The following is a 25,496-nucleotide window of genomic DNA, read 5'->3' as shown; positions in this document are numbered from 1 at the left end:
TATTTTAGCAAAAGATGGAAAACTCTGAGAAGGGATATGCCAAGCGGGTAGAAATTATCTTTTATTAAGACTATGGGGAAAGGGAGAGGGAGAGAGAGAGGCTCTAGCTGCTGCTTTCCTTATTACTGGATTTAAACTTTTTCTATTAATTCTTCCTTTGCCCTGCCACCTATGAGTTAATCAGTACTCACTCACTCAACACTGATTGGCCCATCCCATTTAGCCCTGTGTGAGGTGCTGAAGACCTTGGTCCTTAAAGTGTGGTCCTGGACAAGCAGTATCTGTAATACCCATGAGCTTGTTAGAGATGCAGAGTCTCAGGCTCCACCCCAGACCTTCTGAATTAATCTGCATTTTAACATGTCCTCAGGCAATCTCTATGAAGAGTACAGTTTGAGAAATGATGCTCTGGGGTATTTAAAGAGAACCAGGCTGGGGCCTATCAGCAAGAAATTTACAGAATATTTGCATATGTAATGAATGGATACAATAATGTGATAAATCACCACCTACCCATTTGCAGAAGCAAAACCCTTGAAAGGATTTTTTTGAGGAAAATCTTGGCTTTGCTTTACATACTTTCTTCATTCATTTTTGTGCTGAGATAGCATTGTCTTCTTTAAGGTACGGACTCTTGTGTGGCCATAGTCTAAACTTTCAAATGAGAATGGCAAGATATCATCACCTCTTCAACCTTTAATTGTTACCATCAACAATAATCATAATGACAATTTATTTAGCTTTTATTACCAGGCATTATTAATGCTGGGGATACAGTAAATAAAAACAAATCCTCTGTTCTTGGGGCAGTGATGGTAAGTGTATAGGATAAAAATCAAGAAGGGAAGGGGATGAAGAGGGATGGAGTAGATGGTTGTGATGGTATAGTCATTGGCATTGGAGGAATGACATGAGTGGCCTTAGAGAAGGGAGATATGGGTGAAGTGAAGGAATGAATTCTGGGGAAATCTTGGGGAAGACAGTTCAAGTCAGAAGGAACATCAAGGAACAAAAAGTCTTGAGTCAAAGTTAGACTGGCTTGTTCCAGAATGTCATGGAGGTTGCCATGGCTGGAGTAGATTGAGTGAGGGGAGAGCAGTAGAAGATGACCCAAAGCAAGTTATATGGCCTTGGGGGATATGAATGGCCCTCAGCTCACTCAGCTTTTATTCTGAGTGAGATGGTGGCCATTGGAGGATTTCAAGTGAAGTGACATGATCTGACTTAGGCTGCTGTGTGAGAACTCACAGTAGGGAGGCAAAGATGGAACCAGCAAGACCGGTTAGGAGGATATGACAGACATCCAGGGGAGAGATAATGTTGGCTTGGCCTAGGGTAGTATACCTTAGAAATAGGTAGGATATTTTATTCTTTTCTTTACCCCAAGGATCTCTTTTTTAACTTAAAAAATTGAGATATAATTCCCATATCATAAAACTCATTTTTAAAAAGTATAAACTTAGCAGTCTTCAGTATATTCACAAAGTTGTATACCTCATCACCACCTGATTCAACAACATTTTCATCATCATGGAAAGGAACCTGTATACATTAGTAGTCAGTCACTGTTTCTCCCTCTTCCCAATCCCTGGTAACCACAGATATATTTTCTGTCTAAGTGAATTTGCCTATTTTAGACATCTAATATAAATAAAATAATGCAACATGTGACCTTTTACATCTGGCTTCTCTACTTGGCATGATATTTTTAAGGTTCATGTATGTTGTAACATGTATCAGTACTTTATTCAATTTTATGACTAAACAATATTACATGGTATGGATATACCATATTTTGTTTTCCATCCATCTCATCATGTGCATTTGGATTGTTTCCACTTTTTGATTATTATGAATAAGGCTGCTATGAATATTTGTGTACAATGATTTGCAGGAATATATGCTTTCAGTTCTTTTGGGTATATACCTAAAAATGGAATTGCTGGGTCATATGGTAACTCCATGTTTAACTTCTTGAAGGATTGCCAAACTGTTTCCAAAATGGCTGCATAATTTTACATTCCTACTAGCAATATAAGAGGGTTCCAATGTGTGTTAGTCCATTCTTACACTGCTATAAAGAACTACCTGAGACCGGAAAGTTTATAAAGAAAAGAGGTGTAATTGACTCACAGTTCAGCAGGCTATACAGGAGGCTTGACTGGGGATTCCTCAGGAAACTTACAGTCATGGCAGAAGGTGAAGGGGAAGCAAGCACATCTTCACATAGTGACAGGAGAGAGAGAGCAAAGAGGGGTACGCTATGCACTTTTAAACAACCAGGTTTTCTGAGAATTCACTCACTATCACAAGAACAGCAAGGGGGAAATCTGCCCCCATGATGCAATCATCTCCCACCAGGATCCTTCCCCAACATTGGGAATTACAATTTGATATATTTGGGTGAGGACGCAGAGCCAAACCATATCACAATATCTCCACACCCTCACCAGTGCTTGTTATTATTATTTTTCACAGTAGCCATCTTAATGGGCATGAGATGATACCTCATTGTGATTTTGATTTTCCTAATGACTAAAAATGTTGAATATCTTTTCATGTGCTTATTGGCCATTTATACATCTTTGTAGAAATGCTTATTCAAATCTTGCCAATTTTTAAATTGAGTTATTTGTCATTTTATTGTTGAGGTGTAAGTTCTTAAAGTATTTTGGGTACTAATCACTTATCAGATAAATAATTTGCAAATATTTTCTCCCATTGTGTGAGTTGCCTTTTCACTTTTTAAAAATAGTGTTATTTGAAGCACACAAATTTTTAATTTTGTTGAAGTCCAGTTTATATTTATTGTTATTGCTTGTGCTTTTGGTGTCACATCTAAGAAACTATTGCCTAATCCAATGTTACAAAGATTTATGCCTATGTTTTCCTCTGAGGGTTTTATAGTTTTGGCTCTTAGATGTAGGTACCTGATTCATTCTGAGTTAATTTTTGTACATGGTATGAGGTAGGGGTCTGTATTAGTTTGTTAGGGCTGCTGCAATCAGGTACCACAAACTGAGTGTTTTAAACAACAAAAATTTATTGTCCCATAATTCTGGGGGCCAGAAGTCTGAGATGAAGGTGTCAGGAGTGTTGGTTCCTTCTGAACCAAACTTTGAGGAAGACTCTGTTCCATGTCTGTCTCTTAACATCTGGTGTCTTATAGGCAATCTTTGGTGTTCCTTGGCTGGTAGAACACCACCCCAATCTCTGCCTTCACCTTCATATGGTATCCTCCCTGTGTCTTGCTTGTGTCCAAATTTCCCCCTTGCACACCCCTGCCAACTTTTTTTTTTTTTTTTGAGACCGAGTCTCATTCTGTTGCCCAGGCTGGAGTGCAGTGGTGCGATCTCAGCTCACTGCAACCTTTGCCTGCCAGATTCAAGCAATTCTCCTGCCTCCTGAGTAGCTGGGACTACAGGTACAAGCCACCATGCCCAGCTAATTTTTTGTAATTTTAGTAGAGACAGGGTTTCACCATGCTGGCCAGGCTGGTCTCGAACTCCTGACCTTGTGATCTGCCTGCCTCGGCCTCCCAAAGTGTTGAGATTACAGGCGTGAGCCACTGCGCCTGGCCCAAATTCCCCTTTTTATAAAGACACCAGTCATATTGGATTAGGGCTTATCTTTTTTTTAGTGTGACCTCATCTTAGTTTAATTACATCTGCTAAGATCCCATTTCTGAATAAGGTCACATTTGGAGTTATTGGGATCTAGGGTAATAACCTAAATTTTGGTGGGGATGTGGGAGACATAATTCAGCCCTAAACAGGGTCCAACTTTGTTATTTTGTATATGGAGTTGTCCCATTTTGTACATGTGCAAAAATATTAGTAGCATAATTTCCTAGAAGTTGAATTGCTGGGTCAAGAGGTTATTTGCATTAAAAATTTTGATAAATATCAAAAGATTCTCTTTAGAGGTTGCATAATTTATTGCCTAAGCAACAATGCATATATGAGTGTTTATTTACCACATTTTACTAACACGGTGTGTTCCCAACCCTTTTGACACTTACCTATTTTATAGGAGAAGAAGAATATTTCATTGTGGTTTTAATTTGTGTTTATTTTATTGAGAGAGAAATTGAATATCTTTTCATGTGTTTAGGGGCATTGTGTTTCCTTTTCAGTGAAATGTCTGTTTATCTCCTTAGCCCATTTTTTCTAATGGGGTTATTGTTCTTTCTTACTGATTTTAAAGAGCATTTTATGTATTAAGGATATTTGCCCTTTATTATCATTTGTCTCTTTGTTTTTTATTTTGGAAATTCGTAAATATTTTTAATTTTTACATAATAAAATATATCTTCCTTTTATGGCTTCAGGACTTCTAAAATACTTAGGATAGACTTTGCAACTCTGAAATTATATGAAAATAAAAATTCTGCCATGTTTCCTTCTAGTCAAAAAACTTTCTTTTTAATATTTAAATATTTGATAAATTGGGAATTTATTTTGGTGAAGCATATAAGGTAGAAATTCAAATTTAGTTTTTTTTCAGTGATATTTACTTATTTTATTTACTGAATAATTTATTTTGCACTTATGTGAAATGTCACTTATATCCTAATCTATAGCCTCATACTGATCTGCATTTCTTCTGGACTATATTTTATTTTACCACATAGTTGATACCATAGTTACTGTATAAGATATGGCAGAAGACCTCTTTACACTTCTTTTTGAAATTTTGTTTTCTGGCTATTCTTGTTTATTTTTCATTAAACTTAAGAATCAGCTTGTCTAATTTAAGTACAAATTCTGTTTATATGTCTATTGAAATTGCATTTATGCTTTAATTTATAAAGATATGTCACCTTTATGGTGTTCACTCTTTCGATCCATTTATTTTAGTTTTCTTATGTAAGTTTTAATCCATCCATTAAGTTCTTCAAGAGTATTTCAAATATTTTTTCAATTTTTTTATCTTCTTAATTTTTGTTTTGAAGTTTGCTTCCAGATATTGTATATTTTATATCACGATTGTATATTGCTCTTAGTTATGCACTTAACTTCAGGGTACTAGTCCACCGAGTCACACTGTCCTCAAAGGTTTTCATCAGATTTTGTAGATTCCCCTTTCTGTCCCCAACATGCTTGAAAGTAGTCTTGCTTCTGCATCCCTCCCCACCCTCAAGGGGGGGTAAGGCTGTTTGGTGGCCTCACTGCCTCTCTTGTATCTGGGAGATGGCAGACCAGAATCATTATACATTAGCTAGATCAAAGGCTGCTCCTCCACATGGAAACGTGTGCCATGATAGCAGAACTGGAGCCAACTCTCTTCTTGCTAACATCTGCAGGGAAGAAATGGGGATTTCTGTGGTTGCTCTTTAGTGATCAGTAGAGAAATTCTGATGGCGATGGGCAGTGATGCCACTCATTTCTATATTTTCACAGTGAACTGAACCTAGTATGTGTAGTGTCAAACCACAAAGCTGGAAGGGCTAACATTATTATTTAAAGATGAGGAAAATGTTGACCCTTCAGCTCAGGGACCATACTGCAATGACCTGCTAAAAGTAGCTGAGCAATCTGTGGCCCTGACCCTGACTCTCAGCCACTGTTCCTTCCACCATGATGCTCTGTTGCACTTGGTTTCTTAGGAAAAGAATATGTTTTATAGGATTGCAGGAATGATATTCAAAATCTAGGCCAGGAAGAGTTTTCAGAGACTACCTCTTCAGACTTGTGGCACGATTGTGTTCCTAGGTTTTATTCTTAAAAGACTTCAGGATGCAGTGCTACCTCTCTCTGCCCTCCTGTCACTACTTCTCCCTTTCTATATGATAGTTTATATATTTAACTCCAGTTTTTTTCCTGCAGTTTGAGCATTGCCTTTGTTTTGACTAAGGAGTTTCATATTTTAATTTCATTTTATCCATCTTGTGCATAATTAATTTTTGTCTGCCTGTATGGTTGGTGATCCCATTTGAATATGCTGTTTTTGTTACAGGAGGGCTCTGGGCCACCATCCGAGGCTCTAGTTTGGAAGGTGTTAGCCTGATATTATTTGGATCTTACTCGTGTGCCATCAATGTCGCTACAAGCAATTCAAGCAGAATTCAGTGCAAAGTTCCACCCAGGGTAAGTGGATTCCTTTCATATCTCTTTCTCTCTGGGTGAGTGACCACTGTTAATATAACATTTTCAGTGAATCACTTCTTAGAACTAAATGAACTGATGTAAACTTCTCATTATGATAGTATGCTTGTAGTAGTTATATTGTCTGTTTTGCTATGAAGTGGGAAACTGACCCCACCAATGGAGCTTGTAATTAACATCAATTAATTTCTTAAAAAGAAGACAACCAGGCAGTTCTGGTCTGTACTGTCAGTAAGTATTAGTGACACGTAACAAATAAATTTAGCTAGTGCACATTCTGGGTGTTGGCTTGCAAGGCTTATATATTTCAAAGTCTCCCTTCTCTATTAAGCAAACAACAAATAACTTAGTTTTCATCAGCAATTTTGTTTTCTAGTATGGGTATTAATTGTAGAACTTAGAAACTTCTAGAGTGTGTGATTTCTAAGAAATATCTTCTTAGTTATTCTCCATTGCTTCCTTTTCCCCTTAAAAACAAGTCCCTGACCTCTTCCTTTCCTTTCAATTAGTGCTATATCATGGCCTATTAAGGGATTTGAGTCTGGGTCCTTCCCTGGTACTGTTGGGGAGAGTCACACGCACTGCTGCCACTGAACTTTCTATTTAGAGTTGACTTAAGCAGCATCAACATTCCTAGCACACCCATGACCCCAAAATAAAGATCCCCTGGGAGATAAGTTTCAAAATATTCTTTGATCACTAGTCCTACATTTTAATCTCATCTAGTTCCTTAAATATTATGAAAAGCTAGCTTTTATATGTACACTACATTCAATTCCAATATGTGGTTGTACTCTAATTTGTTTAACTATTCCTTATTACCAGACACTTAGATAATTTCTAAATGTTTCTTATTGTAAACAACAGGGCTTTAATCATCCTAATAACTATGTTTTGGGGGTACATTTCTTTTCTCAGGATAAATTAATATAAATTCTAAAGCTTTTGATATGTAGTATCCAGTTGTCTGAAATTCCCTTTCAAATTATACTCCCACCATCATTGTGCACGTGTGTGATTTTTGACACTTTGGCCAATACTGGGTTATCACTTTATTATTTTAATATATATTTGCCATTTTAATGGGTAAGACATGTACCTCTTAATTTCTTTTACCAGAGAACATAAACATTAATAAAAAATAAATTTTACTTTTGATCCAAGTGATAGATGCATAGGTTAAAAGGAAAATAGTAAATTATGTTTTCCTGCCCCTCCTCCCCCTTCTTCAAGTCCCCCTTCCTGAAACAACTTTTAATTCTTTCAAATATAGTTACAATACCATTTTTATCTTAAATTAATAAAACCTGTTTATATTATTCTAACTATTTAGATGATGCTGGCAGAACCGGGTAGTATATTTTTTTCTTTTATAGTTCTTTTTTTTTTTTTTCCCCTAGAGTTCCTATTTTATTTTCTAAACATGTCTTTTGTTTGTTCGTTTGTTTGAGACAGAGTTTCGCTTTTGTTGCCCAGGCTGGAGTGGTACAATCACGGCTCACTGCAACCTCCACCTCCCGGGTTCAAGTGATTCTCCTGCCTCAGCTTCCTGAGTAGCTTGAATTACAGGCATGCACCACCATGCCCAGCTAATTTTTTGTATTTTAGTAGAGGTGGGGTTTCTCCATGTTGGTCAGGTTGGTCTCAAATTCCTGATCTCAGGTGATCCACCCGCCTCGGCCTCCCAAAATGCTGGGATTACAGGTGTGAGCCACTGTGCCTGGCTAACATGTCTTTCTTATAAGTTAAATCCAATATCTTTTAAAAAAAGTTCCATCGTATCAGTCATTCATTTTCCTTGAAGCTATCTCTGTTCTCCTGTTTCAATCTAGCCTGCTTATTTTCTAGGTTTATTCTACAGATTTTATCCTAGTACTTACTTTGATTGCTTTCTTGAGTAGTCACTGTTTCTTGGGTTTCAGATATATATATATATTTAAATTATTATTTATTTTATGAGATAATAACCATAAGTACATCCTATGAAAGAGTGTGTCATAGAGAAATTTTCTGAGTTCTCACATGTCTGAAAGTACTCTCATACTTGATGGATAGTTTAGCTAGGTATAGACATTTATTTGAAATTGCCATATTTTTGCAGAAACAATTGGTGTGTTAATTGCAAATAATTCTTATTTACCCCTTACAGCATGTCATTATGCATCTAACACTGCACTTGCCTACTAGTCCAAGCACTTATCACTCTGTGTTGTGGGTGTGGGGGCAGGATGGGGAGAGTGTGCAGGGTTGTAGAGAAGAGAGAGACTTGGAAGTAGGAAATATACCCTTTAGGAACAACTTTCTTAAAATTAACTTTTAAAACTAATTCTATATGGAGTTCTCTTCCCTTAAGTCAGTCCTACTTTAAAATAAAACTGAGGTTTAATTTTTAAAATTGATTTTTCAGGGGAAAGATGGACGCATTGTGAATGTGACTGTGATCAGAGGGGACTATTCTGCAGTTCTTCCCAGAGCATTTACATATGTCTCTTCCTTAAATCCAGTTATTGTGACTCTGAGCAGAAACATAAGCAATATAGCAGGTAAAATATGTGATACTGCAAGATCTTTTTCTTCTTAGAGCATTGGTCCTATAAAAAGGGCAATCAATGTCCTCTGAAATTTATTGTATTTTGGATTTAAGTTTTTTCTTGAAAGCTAGGAGATTGCTTTTTTCATCTTAGCCATCATCGAATCAATCTCCTGATATCTACTTTTCCATCTGTAAAATGGAACCATTGTACAGATGGGACCATTTCCATCATGAAAAGGATGTGGGAATTCAAAAGTTACAATTCAAAATATGTTCCTTGAGCATTTAGTAAGTGTCAATAATGATAGCATAAACATAAAATAGATGTAATTTAATCCTTGCCCCTAATTTATAGGATTATTAGCTTCAATTTACAGATCAGGAAATTAAGGAATGGAGAGAATAAGTAATTTATCTAAGATTTGAACACAGGTCATCTGTTTGTATATACCAAGTACTTATCTACTTGTAGTTAACTGTAAAATACTGCTTTTTGACAGCAGGTTCTATTGTAGCAGTTATTTAATATGATTAGAGAATAGGATGCTCTGATTAACTTAGAATTCTTGTTTCTTGAGACATTCTACGTATAAAAATAATGGATTCATTAGCACCAACTACATGAAAGAATTTTTCTTTGATGATTCAGAGGATATGGCAAGGTAGAATTATAATAATTTATTATCATGTAATTCCATATAGATTTGGAAGAGTAGCAGGTAACTTCCCTTTCTGGTGAACTGAATGCCAGATAACAGGGTTTGTGGTAGCCATATCTAAGGGTTTATTGTAAAAAGACCATCATATTTCCCAAAGAAAAAGTCTGAACTCAATTTTTCTGGCACTATTTTCATTTTCCATAGCTCAAGAGTACATAAATAAAGAGAAGTGTCCTTTAGCTTCCAATATTATTCAGCTCAGATAATGCAGAAGAAGAATTTGCTGCCCCAGGTGACTGAAGTGTGTAAAATTCCTTAGTGGTACAGATTCTTCCTGATGAGGTAGAAAAGGGAGGGGGAGCTCCATGTTATATTCAGATTTCAGTGATTTTGGCTTTTAATAAAATTTCTTATCTGTAATGAAAAGAATAAATACATTATATCAGTGCCAAGGAAGCATCTAGGATTAGCTTGACAGTTGACCAAGTGCTCCAAAAGTTATGTTGTTGATACATACAATGCAATGCATTCTTTTCAAAATTTATACTTGTATTTAAATCTTTCTACAAGCAGAATAAAAAGGAGCATGTTATAAAATCCACGAAGTGTCGTAGCCTTTTGGGAATGCCTCTTTTAAGTTGGAGTGCTGCACATCTCCATCCAAGAGATGATGTTGATGATGACCGTGAGGCTGAGATGAAATGAAAATAAAAGCATAAGAGGGACCAAGGATGGGGAGTGCTGGTGAATTTGATGTGCAGGACCATTAGTGTTGGTTTCTGCAGTCAGGAAAAATGGAATCTGCATGAATCCCAGCTCAACCACTTGTTAAAAAGAAGAACTTTCAAGAAATTAAATTTAACAGAGTTTGTTTGAACAAAGAATCATAGTAACTTGTAGAACCAGAAAAGGTTCAGAGAGCTCCACTATGCCACATGGGCAGGCAGCATTTATAGACAGAAAATGGAAGTGAGGCCAGAAACAGCTCCCTGTTTGCCTTATTGGAGCATGGTCTGATCAGTTGGCAGCCTGTGATTAACTGAGGCTCAGGTAGTTGAGGCTTTCAGTTTATCACAAAGTTGGGTTGCAGTTCTTTATGTAGAGACTCAAGGTACAGAGACAGCCTTAGGCCAAACTTAGTTGAACTTACCATACTCCTTGGGTAAGATATTTAACTTCTTTTATCTTCAGTTCCTTCATTTGATAGGTGGGAATAATTCTTTCAAGGTAATCATGAAAATAGGAAATAAAGCAGATGAAAGTACCTGGTCCAGGAATTGACATAGAGTAAGCACCAATAAATCTTTGTTGAAGTGAATGCCATCATTCTGCCAGATATTGAATGCTTTATAAACAAGCCAAAGAAAGGCCCTGCCTATTGGTCCTATTTTTTTTTTACTTCTTCATGGCACCCCAGGATCCATTAGCTCAAAAGCCTGCCAGTGCTAAATTCAAACTTTTACACATCCACTTGTTTTCAGCGTAGCCAAAATAAGCATATTTTTAGCCATTTAAATTCCTCTTGCTTTGCATGCCCCATGAAACTGCACCCATCAGTCAGCTGTAGGTAAGAAAACCCTGGGGCTATAAAATACCCTAAGCCGCTGATGCCTTTGGAGCTCTCTGTCCCAGAGGCTACCCACCAGGCTGCTGAGTGACATCATCTGGACACAGAACCCCCCTCTCTCATCTTCCCACCCCCTCCCAGTTCCCTTGCCTTCTTCCCTTTCTGGATGGTGGCCCAATACTGTTGCCTCTGGAAGGTCTCATGCTGGGAGACTTCCTCCTCCTCTGTGAATCTGTCAAAATACCACCCAAATAATGCTTGTTTTTTGCTACTGTCACCTCGTAGTCATGTCTTTTTCTTTGATCAGCCCTGAAATCCCTTGAACTCACTACACTGAAGCTTCAGACTTCCCAGTAGAGATTGGGAAGACATGCGGTCAAGAGAATGGGGAACGAGGAAGAAAATGAAGTTAATTAAGGCCTTTTTGTGTGCTATATCATGCCAGATACTTTCCCAGGATATCTAACAAACCACATGGGATGGGCTTTATTAACCATGTTATTGATGAAAAATCCAAGGCTTTGAGAGCCGTAAGTAAATCACCCAAAGTCACAGAGGTAGTAAAATGGCAGATCAAGGATTTGAATGCAGATTCATAGTCTTCCCACCACACCACATCCCTCTTCTTTGACTTTTCTCTTTCAAGCAACCTCTTTTTCCTCTTCATCTAATTGGCCGTGGCATCCCATAGATACCAGCTCTGCAGTAGTCCTCAAATGTTACAGGCTAAAGGAGCTAGAGATGCTTTAGCCCAAGCCATGTTTCAGTGGCCACACTGGGACACAGGAAAGGTAAGGACATTTATTTCCACTCCTGCTGTTGCCCACTTGATTTGGTCTACTTGATTAAGACTACAATTGTCTGCAGATTGGATTTCTCCTCCCCTATCTTTTCAATTTATCTTAAAGACTGGAAGAACAGTTTTAATCATATCTTTTCCTTGCTTACAAGTCTTTGGCGGTCACTGCCGTCCACTGAGTTAAGCAGACATCCCTCTGGCTTGGCTTTCTTGGTCTTTGGCCCTAGGACTACCATCAACTTGGCTTATCCCCAAAACAGAACCCTACCTGTGCCTTCCAGAACATCACCCAATTCTCTTTTTCCTCTCCAAGCCACTGGGTGATTAAGTGAGAAATTGCTATGAAAGGCTTTGGATAAAACCGTGAAATTTCTAGAAATAAATGATAAGCCCCCTTTTCTCTATGACTTTCTTTTTGGATTTATCTTTCAAGCTCCAATTCAACTCTCATCTTGCCCATTCCATCTTTCCTGATATTCATAATGTTGCTCTGATTTGAGCAATCCCAGTGCTTAATTTCCACCTCTCTTGTAGTATATCTTTTATTGAAGCAATTTTGTCACCTATTTTACTACCGTTGAGGCTTCTTTGAGGGCAGAGTCTGTGTTTAACTTATTTTGTGCCCCTTGCAGCATCTTCCTTATGGTACTCAATAAATATTTGAGTTAAAAGAAATTGCATGAAAGTGTTCATAGTGTACACATTTTAATAGAGTTGCTAATTAAACTAAAAGGACACTGAAATGCAAGACAAAAGACTGGGCTCAGGTCTTGACCTTTTTTTTTCTTTTTTAGTAATTATTAATAGCTATGAGGCTGTGGCTGCTGAGCTTAGTTTCCTCAAATGCAAAATACCAGTCATATTAATTGCCCCATATAAATCATCAGGATAGTGTGTGGACCAAGTGGGATAACATACGTGAAAGTACTCTGTCAGTTATGAGCTACTAAACTCACATACAGCATTACTGTAAGGTTCAGTGCACACTCAAATATAGCTTCAGACTTCTACCAGTAGAAAAGTGGAGGTTAAGCAACCAATATGTGGTGCTCTTTGCTGGTTATAAAGACCGTTAGCTCTGCAAACTTCTTGATTTGCCTTTGCATGGAAATAAGTTAGTGTCTCTTGAATACAATTGTCCTGCCAATTTTTCTTTTTATACTATTGAGGTTACAGACCATATCTCTGTTAAAAGAGTTGTTAAGCCAGGCAAGGTGGCTTACCCCTGTAATCCCAGCCCTGTGGGAGGCCAAGGCAGGCAGATTGGTTGAGCCCAAGAGGTTGAGACCAGCTTGGGCAACATGTCAAAACCCTGTCTCTGCAAAAAATACAAAAATTAGCTGGGTGTGGTGGCACATGCCTGTAATCCCAGCTGCTTGGGAGGCTGAGTTGGGAGGATTGCTTGAGCCCTGGAGGTTGAGGCTGCAGTGAGACAAGATTGCACCACAGCACTCCTGGGTGACAGAATGAGACCTGTCTCAAAAAAAAAAAAAAATAGTTGTTAGAAGTTTCTTGAAAAATTTAGGTTGGTATCGTAACTCTTAAGAGTATTATGCATAGGGGTGACTGTGAATTTAATCCAAAAAGACAGTTTTAGAATTGAATAGATGGTTGAGCCCACAAACCCCACATGTCAGAGGCTATTGGATTCTTCTCAACACAGGCGGTGAGACCCTGGTCATTGGAGTGGCGAGGCTGATGAACTATACGGATTTGGATGTGGAAGTCCACGTCCAGGATGCCTTGGCTCCGGTTCACACACAGTCGGCTTGGGGCCTGGAGGTGGCACTGCCCCCACTGCCAGCTGGTCTCCACAGAATTTCCGTCTCTATCAATGGGGTCAGCATTCACTCACAAGGGTGAGGTGACCACTTGCATTAATTTTGGATTTGTTTGATGGTCTAGCATTCAGCTAGGTAATTCTAATTTTGAGTTAGGTATTTTCTTTTTCCCTTGGAAGTTAGAGGTTAAAGACATGAACATCATAACATTGGAACAAATCTTAGAGAACTTACAGACAGTTTGCTCTTCTCCTCAAAATACATATGGCTCTTCTGGCTTACTCTTTCTTATCTCTCTCTGTCAGTTATTTCCTAAACATCTGCCTATCTTCTGTAGGGTTGATCTCCACATCCAGTACCTCACAGAAGTTTTCAGCATCGAGCCTTGCTGTGGGTCCCTGCTGGGTGAGTGGCTCTTATGTGACTGTTATCAATTATCCAGCAATTCTATTTGCTGGATATTCAGATTTTGTTTCTGGATTAATTTGCCAGTGAGGTCAGAGAGAGGGGAAACAGGAGAGAAACTTTCCTCGGGCTCCAGGAACTGAGGGGTGTTTTTAAAAGGGTGTTAAAACTTGGTGATTCATTTGCTCAGGAAATTAAGGAATTTTTATGACAAGGAGATGTGCCTGCTTTTCTTTTCTTTTTTTTTTCTTTTTCTTCTTCTCCTTCTTCTTCTTCTTCTTTTTTTTTTTTTTTTTGAGACGGAGTTTCGCTCTTGTTGCCCAGTCTGGAGTGCAATGGTGCTGACTTGGCTCACTGCAATGTCTGCCTCCCGGGTTCAAGTAATTATCCAGCCTCAGTCTCCTAAGTAGCTGGAATTACAGGTGCCCTCCATCATGCCTGGCTAATTTTTCTATTTTTAGTAGAGATGGGGTTTCACCATGTTGGCCAGGCTGGTCTTGAACTCCTTACCTCAGGTGATCTGCCCACCTCGGCCTCCTAAAGTGCTGGGATTACAGGCATGAGCCACCGTGCCCAGCCGAGATGTGCCTGCTTTTCTAATGAAAAGAGGATGAAACGTCTGATGGGTGACACTCTAGAGTGGATATGAGAAAAACAAGGGCAACATGTCCTGCATTCGCCATTTAGATGCTGTGCATGCAAGGAGGGGAGGATTGAATCTGCGGGTCTTCACTTTCCATGAGAGAGACAGATGAAAGACTCAGAAATAGAAACACACATGCTGATATGGGAGATGGAAGAACAAGACAAATAGACCAATCTCTAAAACTATTTTCAGAAAGAATGGAAAACAATCTAGTGGCATGTCAATAATAGTTGTGATCATGTGTAAGATAGCACATTATCCTTTTTGGGTATAGTAAAATCCTCTTAAAAGCCACGTTGTACAGTTTGGTTATGCTGTGGGTCATGTTGCTCCAATCCTGTCCTGAAGATGGGGTTTGATCTTTGGTGGCCTCTCTACTGGAGAGTAAGGCAAAGATTCTATGAAGGTAGCAGCAAATTCACCAGCAAGATTCAATGACTTTTAATGTCTCTCACGTATATGGAATATAGAATATATGGTACAATAAATAGAATATATTAGAATGTATAATATATGGAATATTGGAATATTATATAGAACAATATAAATGATAGAAGACTTCAATGAATTTGATTTTTCATTAGCATATAAGTTGAATGTATACAGGACAATGTACAAATAGTCTATATATAGCATACAGGATAATATTTCCAATAATATAATACATGATAAGAAGACTAAGAAATTTGATTTTTCATTAGTGTGTAAGTTGATTAAAGTGGTGGCTTCTGGGATATACAAAGGTACTTGAAAAGTTTGTGTTGAAGACGTCCTTCCTATATAACAATTTGTATTATTTTACTGTTATGTGAATTTACCACATCTGACTCCTGTCTAAATAATCACAAATTTAGCTTTGGTGGGGGTGAGAAAAAATAATTGAGGTTTCACTAACACATGCCCTACCTTCCACTTAATTGACCTAGGACTTCCACAGGTGCTATGAATTCTTAGTTCAGAATATCAGCTATAATATTTTGCTTTCCGTATTCATACTTTAGGAGGGACCATCCTCAGCATCTCAGGAATAGGCTTCAGCAGGGACCCAGCTTTGGTTTGGGTACTTGTGGGCAATCGGTCCTGTGACATTGTGAACTTAACGGAGGCGAGCATCTGGTGTGAAACCCTGCCAGCCCCCCAGATACCCGATGCGGGCGCTCCCACTGTTCCAGCTGCCGTGGAGGTCTGGGCTGGCAACAGGTTCTTCGCCCGTGGTCCTTCACCAAGCTTGGTGGGGAAAGGCTTCACCTTCATGTATGAAGCGGCAGCAACACCAGTAGTCACTGCCATGCAAGGAGAAATCACAAATAGCAGCCTGAGCCTGCATGTGGGAGGAAGTAACCTCTCCAACTCAGTCATCCTTCTGGGGAACCTGAACTGTGATGTTGAGACACAGTCCTTCCAGGGCAACGTGAGCCTGTCTGGATGCTCCATCCCTCTTCACAGTCTGGAGGCTGGCATCTATCCTCTCCAAGTACGTCAGAAGCAGATGGGATTTGCTAATATGTCTGTGGTGCTCCAGCAATTTGCAGTGATGCCTCGGATAATGGCCATCTTCCCATCGCAGGGTTCGGCATGTGGTGGGACCATACTTACTGTGAGGGGGTTGCTTCTTAACTCTAGAAGGAGGTCAGTTCGGGTTGACCTCTCGGGTCCTTTTACTTGTGTGATTTTGAGTTTGGGAGACCACACCATTCTCTGCCAGGTTAGCCTGGAGGGTGACCCCTTGCCTGGAGCTTCCTTCTCCCTGAACGTCACAGTCCTGGTCAATGGGCTAACCAGCGAGTGTCAGGGGAATTGCACTCTTTTCATAAGGGAAGAGGCAAGTCCTGTCATGGATGCCTTGTCCACAAACACCAGTGGGTCTCTGACCACTGTGCTGATTAGGGGTCAGAGGTTAGCCACCACAGCTGATGAGCCGATGGTATTTGTGGATGATCAACTTCCTTGCAATGTAACTTTTTTTAATGCAAGCCACGTTGTGTGCCAGACAAGAGACTTGGCCCCAGGACCCCACTACCTGTCAGTTTTTTATACAAGAAATGGGTATGCTTGTTCTGGTAATGTTTCCAGACACTTCTACATTATGCCCCAAGTGTTTCATTATTTTCCTAAGAATTTCAGCTTACATGGTGGAAGCCTCTTGACCATAGAGGGCACAGGCCTGAGAGGACAGAACACCACGTCAGTCTATATTGACCAGCAGACCTGCCTGACGGTGAACATCGGTGCTGAGCTCATCCGGTGCATTGTTCCCACAGGGAATGGCTCTGTTGCCCTGGAAATAGAGGTAGATGGACTTTGGTATCACATAGGAGTCATTGGTTATAACAAGGCCTTTACCCCAGAATTGATCTCTATTTCTCAGAGCGATGACATCTTAACCTTTGCAGTGGCCCAGATCTCAGGAGCTGCAAACATTGACATTTTTATAGGAATGTCACCCTGTGTGGGTGTCTCTGGTAACCACACCGTTCTTCAGTGCGTGGTCCCTTCCCTTCCGGCCGGGGAGTACCACGTCAGAGGCTATGACTGCATCAGAGGGTGGGCCTCATCTGCCCTGGTGTTCACCTCAAGAGTTATTATTACAGCAGTGACGGAGAACTTCGGTAAGTCAAGCAAATAAGACAGCACACTTTCTTTATGTAAATGAATTGGTAGCTCCTTTCACTTCTGGAAAGTAGAAAATTAACACAATCTGCCTGATGGAAGGAAAGAGAAGCCCACTGGCTTCTTACAATCCCAATTCCTTCCTGAGGCTTGTCTTTGTTATGCTCTGTTTATGAAGATTTTTTTTATTTTTATCAAGGAAACTGTGCATATTCTCTAAATGTTTGATTGTATTTTAATTTGATGCATTAACTGGATTTGTATTTTAAATTAAATAACACCATTTGTAAGAGCTCATAATTTGATCATTTAAGAACGTAAATGCCTTCACCTAGTTTTAGACCCTATCTGCCAATTTGCGTTGTTTAAAATTTATTAAGTATGATTAAATTTTTATCATTTTGTAATATTTCACAGGTGGACTCATATTTCAACAATAATAAGCCAAATGCACAGAACAATTAAATTGGTTGGACTGTTTTCTCCGTTTAGATATACCAAAAATTGCCTAGCCTTTCCCTCCAGTGAAGAAAAGCTTTCAATTTCTATTCACTTAAAGCCTTGTTGCACTTGAGATAGTTCAAATTTGGTTGTGATTTAGAAAGTAAGGAAAAAAACTATAGAAACAGAATCTTAGACTGTTGGAGTACTAACTAAGACATTTCTTAGAAAAAATTTGGTCTCAGCTTGGTGGAACACTGTGGGGACTAGGATTTGGCTCTAGTCTATCACTAATTTTGCTAATTTATGCTTGACTTTTCTGAGACTCAGCTTCCTTATTTGATAAAGGCACTACTCCCTAAGATTCCATGTTTTTTTATGATGGAAGAGCAGGGAAATAAGAAATGCATCTTAAACCAAAAGCATTATTTTTGAGTTAGTCAAGTGGCTAAGTACCACCTAGACCTGGTATGAAGGCAGTAGTGAGGGGAACTCTGTATCTCAGTGTAAACTAGAAATGTGGACTGGTTTTACTCATACAAATGTCCCAAAACATGTACAGTTATTGCATCACTATTAACAATAGCAAAAGAGGAGAAAAAATGGAAATTTCAATAAATAGGAAAATTGTCAAATAAATTGTAGCAGGGCCCTATAATGGAATTCTAAGTAGCTACTAAAATGAACTGGATCCATAGAGTTTTGAAAAAACATCTATGCTATACTTTGAAGCAAAAAAGCAAGTTCCAGAATAATATGGATAGAATAATGCTTTGAATCAGAAACATAGATGCTTAAAAATTCTGGAAGGAGCCATAAGAAACTCTATACCTGGGTACCTCCGGGGAGGGAGTCAGATGGTTGGGGGAATTTTTATTTTCATTTTATGGCTCTTTGAATAAAAAGTTTAAAAACTATAAATAAGCATTAATTTTCCATATAAAAATTGTTACATTAAAAAAAAACCTCTTTAACACAATAGGATATTGAATGTGATTGGAGTCAGACAAGGCCAGAGCCTAAGTGGAGAGGAAACTGAGGCCAGCAGCCACCTCAAGCCAGTTGTGCGGATTCTGAGGATGTGAAAAGAAGAATGGGTAGTGAGGAAGCAAATGTTTGAATTTTGAGTTGAGTAAAGAAGGGAGATTTGCCTGTATGATCAAGAACTTGTACCTTTGTCTTTAAAGGCTGCCTGGGTGGAAGGCTGGTGCATGTGTTTGGAGCGGGATTTTCTCCAGGGAATGTCTCAGCTGCTGTGTGTGGTGCTCCCTGCCGAGTCCTGGCTAATGCTACAGTGTCTGCCTTCAGCTGCTTGGTTCTGCCCCTGGATGGTGAGTAAAGATGCCACACACATATATTTTAAAGCATATATATGGAAATGATATTCTTTGGTTAATTCTATTTTTGTGATTAATGCTGTACTGACTACTAATTTCTCTATGTGTGCCTAGGAAAAGAATTTCTCTACTCCTCATCTAAAATGATAGTTAGAATCTGAGGCCACCTGTTAAAATGATTCATCATAACTTTTGTCATATTAATATGTCAATGTTAGATGAATATTGAAACACTTATCACCTGTGTTCTTAACTGCAGTCTTAGGATGACAGAGGAAGTAATTCTGAATTCTGAATATTAGTTTCAATGACAGCTATAGGAGTCATGGAGGAAACAAGCTCTTGGCTTTGTTCTGAGGTGAGGTTGCTGAAGACATCTGCTTATTGGAGGTACCAGTAAAGGGATGGAGATTTTCAAGCTGGATATCACTTGAAAATTAGCTTTGTGTGTTCAGTTTTCGGTTTCTTATTATAGGCAAAAGAGCCAACACTCATGTTGTCTTCTTGTTTTGCAATACTCACATAATTACTTATTTCTTATTCAGTAAAACACCACAATTGCTCACTACTTTAAGCTGCGTAGTGATCATATAAATTGTGGTATGAGAAGCCGTGTCTTTGTGGGGAAAGAGATGAGAGAGTAAGTTGCAAAGCTTGGGGATTCACAACACATGGTAATACCCCACTGAGCTTCAGGAAATAAAGTCAAAAGGAAGAAATTACTGTTATTACTACAGGACCTTACTACATTTGAGATAGCTCACATTTAGCCAGGTGATTACCTTATTTGCCTAATCATAAATCTTGTACCTGTGCACTTAACCGTTTACATACCTCCTTTCTGTGTAGTGTTTAAGTTTTATTCCTAATTTATTTGTCTGCAACTTGAATGTGGGCTAAAGATTTACAAAATGATAAAAGCACCACATCATCTGAGCTTGGATGAGAATTTAATGATGGATAATGCTATTGTGATGGAAATTTGTGCTGTGTTGTCTTATACAAAGAGGAGAAGGAGGGGAAGGAGGAGGGGGAAGAGGGAAGAGGAAGAAGAAGGGGAGGAGAAAAAAATTTTTGTTAAAATGCTAGAAATTGAGTTTCCTATTATCATCATGTATATAAACACATTATGGAAGAGAGATAGAGTCCACAATGGGAAATTTAAGATACAATAGAAGATTGAAGTTCAAAACATTGTCTGATTCACTGCTCTACCTCCTCTGCTAGGAACAGTGTTGCAGAGGGTATGTGCAAAATTAGTGCTTGGTGAGGAATAAATGAGAGATAGCATAAACAGAAAGCTAAGACTGCACATTTATAGGCTCTAATTTTTAACTAATACTGCTACATTTTTTAAAAAAGCTTTCATATATACACTGCTCAAATTAATATACTTTTAAAAGCCCCGTGTTATTATTTCAAAACACTTAATTTCAACTAGTATAAGATAAAAATCAATGATGTTTCAGGATCAGGTAAGTTGTGATATTTTAAGTTTTATAACTTCTTGGGGAAGAATAATAAAATAATTATTGTGTTTAGAAAGATTTAGAAAAGAACTCAACATTCCATGATTTTTTAAAGAGGAAAATTAGTTGGAAACTGTAACTATTTATATGGCCACTAGGTGTCACCAAACACTCATTGATTGTGCAAGGCACACATTTACTCTAGAGGAATGCATAATTTAACTAATTTTCCTTTCATAAAAAAGTCTTTTAAAAGACTTTCAATCACAATGTCTAAAGATTGAGAGGAAATTGTGAGAGCCAACTCCAGAGGTTTCTTACTTAAGATCCAAGATGGGATTTGGGGATTCTGTTAACCCGCTGAAACTGGATGAAGCATTTTGAGTGTATGACTGTGTATTTTTTTTTTTTCCCTAGGAAGTAGGTCTATAATGGACATCAAATGTCAAAGGGGATAGGTCTTAGACATTACTAGAAACTACTACTAATTTCTCCATTTTCAGACAGGATTGAGTACAACCAAGTTAGCTAAAAATCACTTGTATTTTTAAAGATTTTTCAGGGGAGAATTTCCCAGCAGCAACCCTTACAAGTGTTTCGCAGTTGCTCTTTTCAGAGAAATCCATCCTCTGCCTAATGGATGCTCCCCTACTCTAATTTTTTCAACCTTAATCAGCGGGTGGTTCTTTGGAAAGTGGAGTATTCTTAGTTCCTCTATGGCAGCAGTTCTGGAAGTGTGCTTCCCAGAGCAGTAGCTGCAAGGGCCTCACCCGGGAGCTTGTTAGAAATGTGAATTCTTGGGCCCTACTGAATCAGAAACTTTCCAAGTAAACATTTTAGTATCTCACTTTTCAGCCCTCTCTGAAATCCTATATTCTTTCCTAATTTGAAGCCCCAAATGAGGAAGCTGTTCTATACAAGCAAGTTCTGGCCAAATTGGGTAGCATCGTAAGATGCCTGTGTATCGTCTGATCCCATGTTTGTTTGTACAATTATACTGCAGTCTTGCTGGTTAATAAGCTTTCTGTTACCTACTGTTATCCCAAGGGGTGTGTGTGTGCACGCACGCATTTCTACCATGGCTGTGCACAGCTGGACTTTCCTCATATTTATATGATTTCTTTTTTTCTTTTGTAGTTTACTGTCTTACTCTTTTCATTTGTTCTTTTGTTTATTTCTGTTAACTTCTCTCATTTACCAAGGTCGCTTTGAATTCTGACCCGTGCTTTGAGTTTTTTTCTTCAGTTTGACTTTGTACCATAGAGTGATGTTTCACATTCCAGGTTACAGATAATGACCCTGAACTCAAACGTTCTTAATTATTGTTTTGTTTATGCCTGTGCCACAGAACTAATATGTTTTCTTTACATGTGTGGGGCAGGGGGAGTTAAAGCAGGGGGCTCTACAAATGTGCTTTTGCTATTTTGGAGGTCACCCATTTTTACCATCCCCACAAACTGTACTTCTAACCATAGGAGAAATTTCCTTTTTCTTGTAATGAGTTGCCAAAACATCCTGTTAGGTGAAACTAATACTTTGTGTTTGTTTAAAATGAGCAAAATCTTTGATCTTTGGCTTTCTTGCATTTATACCTTGAATTATACCACATGACATTTTCATGGAAACTTTAACTTTTCCATAAGGCATGGAAAGCTAAAGTGATTAAGGTCACGCAGCTATTTAGTGGCAGAACTTTGAGTAAAACCCATAGATTTTGATCCCCAGCCCTGGGTGATTTTCATAATCCTGCTTGTCAATTTGCATCTACTTAATCACCTTTAATGAATTCATTATTTTATAGGTGTGGAGCTTGTTTTTATTTGCCTTAGGGCTTACTAACTGGAAAGTTCTTATGTTTTGTCTGTTCATACAAGAGTCCTACTGTCAGTCATTTTTATTGCTCTAATTCATTCAAAACACATTCACAGCCAACCTCCTAGGTGCCAGGTGCTTTAGAATATAACAGCAACAATAGTACTATTTGGGCATGATTGCATAACTACAAACCCTCCCCCACGTACTTATCTCATGTAACCCTTGCCACAGCACTGTAATGAGGCGGGGAAGCACAGGTCTAAGCCCACGGCCCTTGATAACCTCTGTTGCATTACCCACATGGGCAGGCTTGCTGCAGAGGAAGCAGGCTACAGAGATTTTTTTAAATTTTCCCTCTTTATTAAGGTTTTCAGACAGAGCTGCTCCTAAACCATCTCATGTGGAGCTTTGTTCATCTTCTAGTTAAAGATCATTCCCAGTCTGCCTCATGATGCTTTTTATATGTGGGTCATGACTCAGAAAAAAATGGCCTGAGAGTCAGCATGCTTCAAATACTTGCTTTTTATCTCTATAACATGCTAATGTTTATAATTATGTGAAAATCAAGAAATTCATAAACTTATCCAAGTCAATAAGACAAACAACCCAATAGAAAAATGGGCAAATGAGAGAAACAGGAATTTCACAGAAGAGAAAACATGAGTTGTTACCAAACATAAAAAAGTTGGTCAACTTGGCCAGGCACGGTGGCTCATGCCTGTAATCCTAGCACTTTTTGAGGCTGAGGCAGGTGGATTGCCAGAGCTCAGGAATTCAAGATCAGCCTGGGCAACATGGTGAAACCCTCTCTCTGCTAAAATACAAAAGATCATCCGGGGTGTGGTGGTGTGCACCTGTAGTCCCAGCTACTCAGGAGGCTGAGGCAGGGGAATTGCTTGAACCCGGGAGGCGGAAGTTGCAGTGAGGTGAAATTGTGCCACAAGCCTGGGCAACACAGCGAAACTCTGTCTCAAAAAATAATAATAATAATAATAATTGGTCAACCTAAAAGTAATGATTGAAATGCAGATTAAGACGACAGTGAAATGCCATTTTACACACCTGATTGGCAAAAATTAAAAGTCTGATAATTTCAAGTGCTTGTAATTATATGGAGTAATGGGAACTTACAAATATGGCTGGTAGGAATACAAAATGGCACAACTACTTTGGAAAACAATATGGCACTATCTTGTAAAGCTGAACTTGTACCTACTCTTTGAATAAGAAATTTTCTTGATAGGCATGCACCCTAGATGAAATTTTGTACGTTTTTAGTAGCAAAAGCTAGGAAATACCAAAAAGTTCATTGATAAGAGAATAGATAAATTTATTGTGGTAGTTTCATGCAATACAATATTGAACAGCAGTGAAAATGTATTAACAATAGTTATATGTAGTAATGTGGATAAATCTTGAAAATATAATATGGAATGAAAAAATCAGACCCAAGAATATTTTATCATGTATCATATTTTATAAAGTTCAAAAACAAGGAAAACTCAATCTCTTGTTTAGGAATACAAATGTTTGTGATAAAACTATTTAAAAAATGCCAAGTGGTTATTTCTGAGAATGAGGAGGAAAGGGACGAACTTGGGGAGAAACACACAGATTTAAGTGTATTATAAGTGTTTTATATCTTATGTTGGCTGGGAAATTCACTTGAGTTTTTTTTATGATGATTATTCATATTTTACAAAAATGATACTTGTATTTTTCTGTGTACATTACACATATACAATACATTTTAAAAAAAGTAAACTGCTAACTTCATATTCCTATTGGTCAAAGGAGGACACAGGAACTTCATTTGTGAAACCGACTAGAGGCCTTAGGTTCTCTCTGTGGTTCTTTCCTAATGGTGACTGTTTCCTGCAGTGTCCTTGGCCTTCCTGTGTGGCCTGAAGCGTGAGGAGGACAGCTGTGAGGCTGCCAGACACACCTATGTGCAGTGTGATTTGACAGTTGCCATGGCGACAGAGCAACTGCTTGAATCGTGGCCTTACCTCTACATTTGCGAGGAAAGTTCCCAATGCCTCTTTGTGCCAGATCATTGGGCAGAGTCAATGTTTCCATCATTCTCGGGCCTCTTTATCAGGTAACTTTACCTTCTCCCTCCCTGAACTTCCCCACAAATGCTTGGCCAATGGACCGATGGAGCCATCAGAGAGTGTAGGCTGGGTGGATGTGGCCTGGCAGCCGTGGTAAGGGCTACAACTCTCTTGGAGGGGCCATTCCATTGTGGATTCCAGCCAGCCTGCATATCAAAGCATCTCCTGTCTTTTTCAACTGTTTAAGAGAACATCTGAAAAATCTGCCCAGTAAACAGCTCGCTTTGTTCTTGCTTAGATTTTAATATTTATCTTCCGATCCAAAGCAACATCTGGTGAATGCCAATGGGGAAAAAGATTAGACGTTATGAAAAACAGAAGGCTTTTTCCCCGCTTTCCTTTTTCTTTTCTTTCCAAACAGATTCACAAGTATGAAAAAAAGCCATAGAGAAATCCAGCAGATTGTACAATGTTTATTCAAAAGAAGGAGGGTTGCATAGGCGGAATTACTGTAGATCTAGGATTTAGAAGCCATAAGCGTATAAGCATTTTTTTAACTTAAAAAAGAGGCTGACAAATAAACACCACAACTTTCCAAGTTAACCCCCCTTTTCTAAACAAATAAAAAAGAAGTGTGACCATGCTAGTAATTCTGGATTGCTTTCATTTCAGCAAGGAGTTCCTTTCCTATACAGGGCAGTGTCTCATGACTGAACATTGTCATGTAAACTTCTTTATGTCTTACGTAGATAGAGTGGCTACCTTTGATTATCTAATGAAGGTCTCTTTTCTTTTTCTTTTCTTTTTTTTTTTTTTTTTTTGAGACAGAGTCTTGTTCTGTCGCCAAGGCTGGAGTGCAATGGCATGATCTCGGTTCATTGCAACCTCTGCCTCCCAGGTTCAAGGTACTCTCATGCCTCAGCCTCCCCAGTAGCTGGGATTGCAGGTATATACCACCACGCCCAGCTAATTTTTGTATTTTTAGTAAAGACAGGGTTTCATCATGTTGGCCAAGCTGGTCTCAAACTCCTGAGCTCAAGCAATCCACCCGACTTGGTCTCCCAAAGTGCTAGGATTATAGGCATGAGCCACCGTGCCCCGCCTCTTTTCTTATAAAATATGAAACTAAACAAGACCACTTCCCCACGGTGAAAGAGATAACCAGCTCTTTTCATGGCATCTGACTTTGTGATGTCCTGAGACAGTTTGTGTTTTAGTGTGAATTTGGCACCAGAGGTTTAGGTTTAGCTGGAGGAAAAGAGGAACCTCCTTG

General features: G+C 38.7%; 1 protein-coding gene across 21 annotated transcripts in view, besides 1 other annotated feature; it reads left to right on the top strand.

Annotated features, from left to right (window-relative positions):
- Positions 1-25,496, top strand: part of PKHD1 (PKHD1 ciliary IPT domain containing fibrocystin/polyductin) — a 472,317-nt gene that overhangs the window by 45,936 nt on the left and 400,885 nt on the right. For 19 of the 21 annotated variants that reach the window (XR_001743469.2, XM_017010944.3, XM_017010945.3 and 16 more), the window contains 7 exons: positions 5,959-6,089; positions 8,515-8,650; positions 13,329-13,524; positions 13,784-13,851; positions 15,499-17,106; positions 18,736-18,879; positions 24,051-24,270. Coding sequence is in view for 20 of the 21 variants with exons in the window: in XM_017010944.3 (XP_016866433.1) it covers positions 5,959-6,089; positions 8,515-8,650; positions 13,329-13,524; positions 13,784-13,851; positions 15,499-17,106; positions 18,736-18,879; positions 24,051-24,270 (2,503 nt within the window). In the remaining variant the exon portion in view is untranslated. The remainder of the gene's footprint in view (positions 1-5,958; positions 6,090-8,514; positions 8,651-13,328; positions 13,525-13,783; positions 13,852-15,498; positions 17,107-18,735; positions 18,880-24,050; positions 24,271-25,496) is intronic. The other 2 variants (XM_011514683.4, XM_017010947.3) reach the window with 2 other exon arrangements.
- Positions 16,431-17,630: an enhancer, noted in NCBI's record as "MED14-independent group 3 enhancer chr6:51888848-51890047 (GRCh37/hg19 assembly coordinates)". NCBI's record gives its function as "activates an origin of replication core promoter dependent on BRD2, BRD4, P300/CBP and CDK7 cofactors, and independent of MED14, by STARR-seq in HCT116 cells {active_cell/tissue: HCT116}" and the evidence as "EXISTENCE:reporter gene assay evidence [ECO:0000049][PMID:35650434]".

The sequence above is a fragment of the Homo sapiens genome, chromosome 6 (genome assembly GCF_000001405.40).
Source record: "Homo sapiens chromosome 6, GRCh38.p14 Primary Assembly".
NCBI lineage: Eukaryota > Metazoa > Chordata > Mammalia > Primates > Hominidae > Homo > Homo sapiens.
The sequence above is the reverse complement of the archived record's forward strand: the minus strand, read 5'-3'. Positions and strand labels throughout refer to the sequence as shown.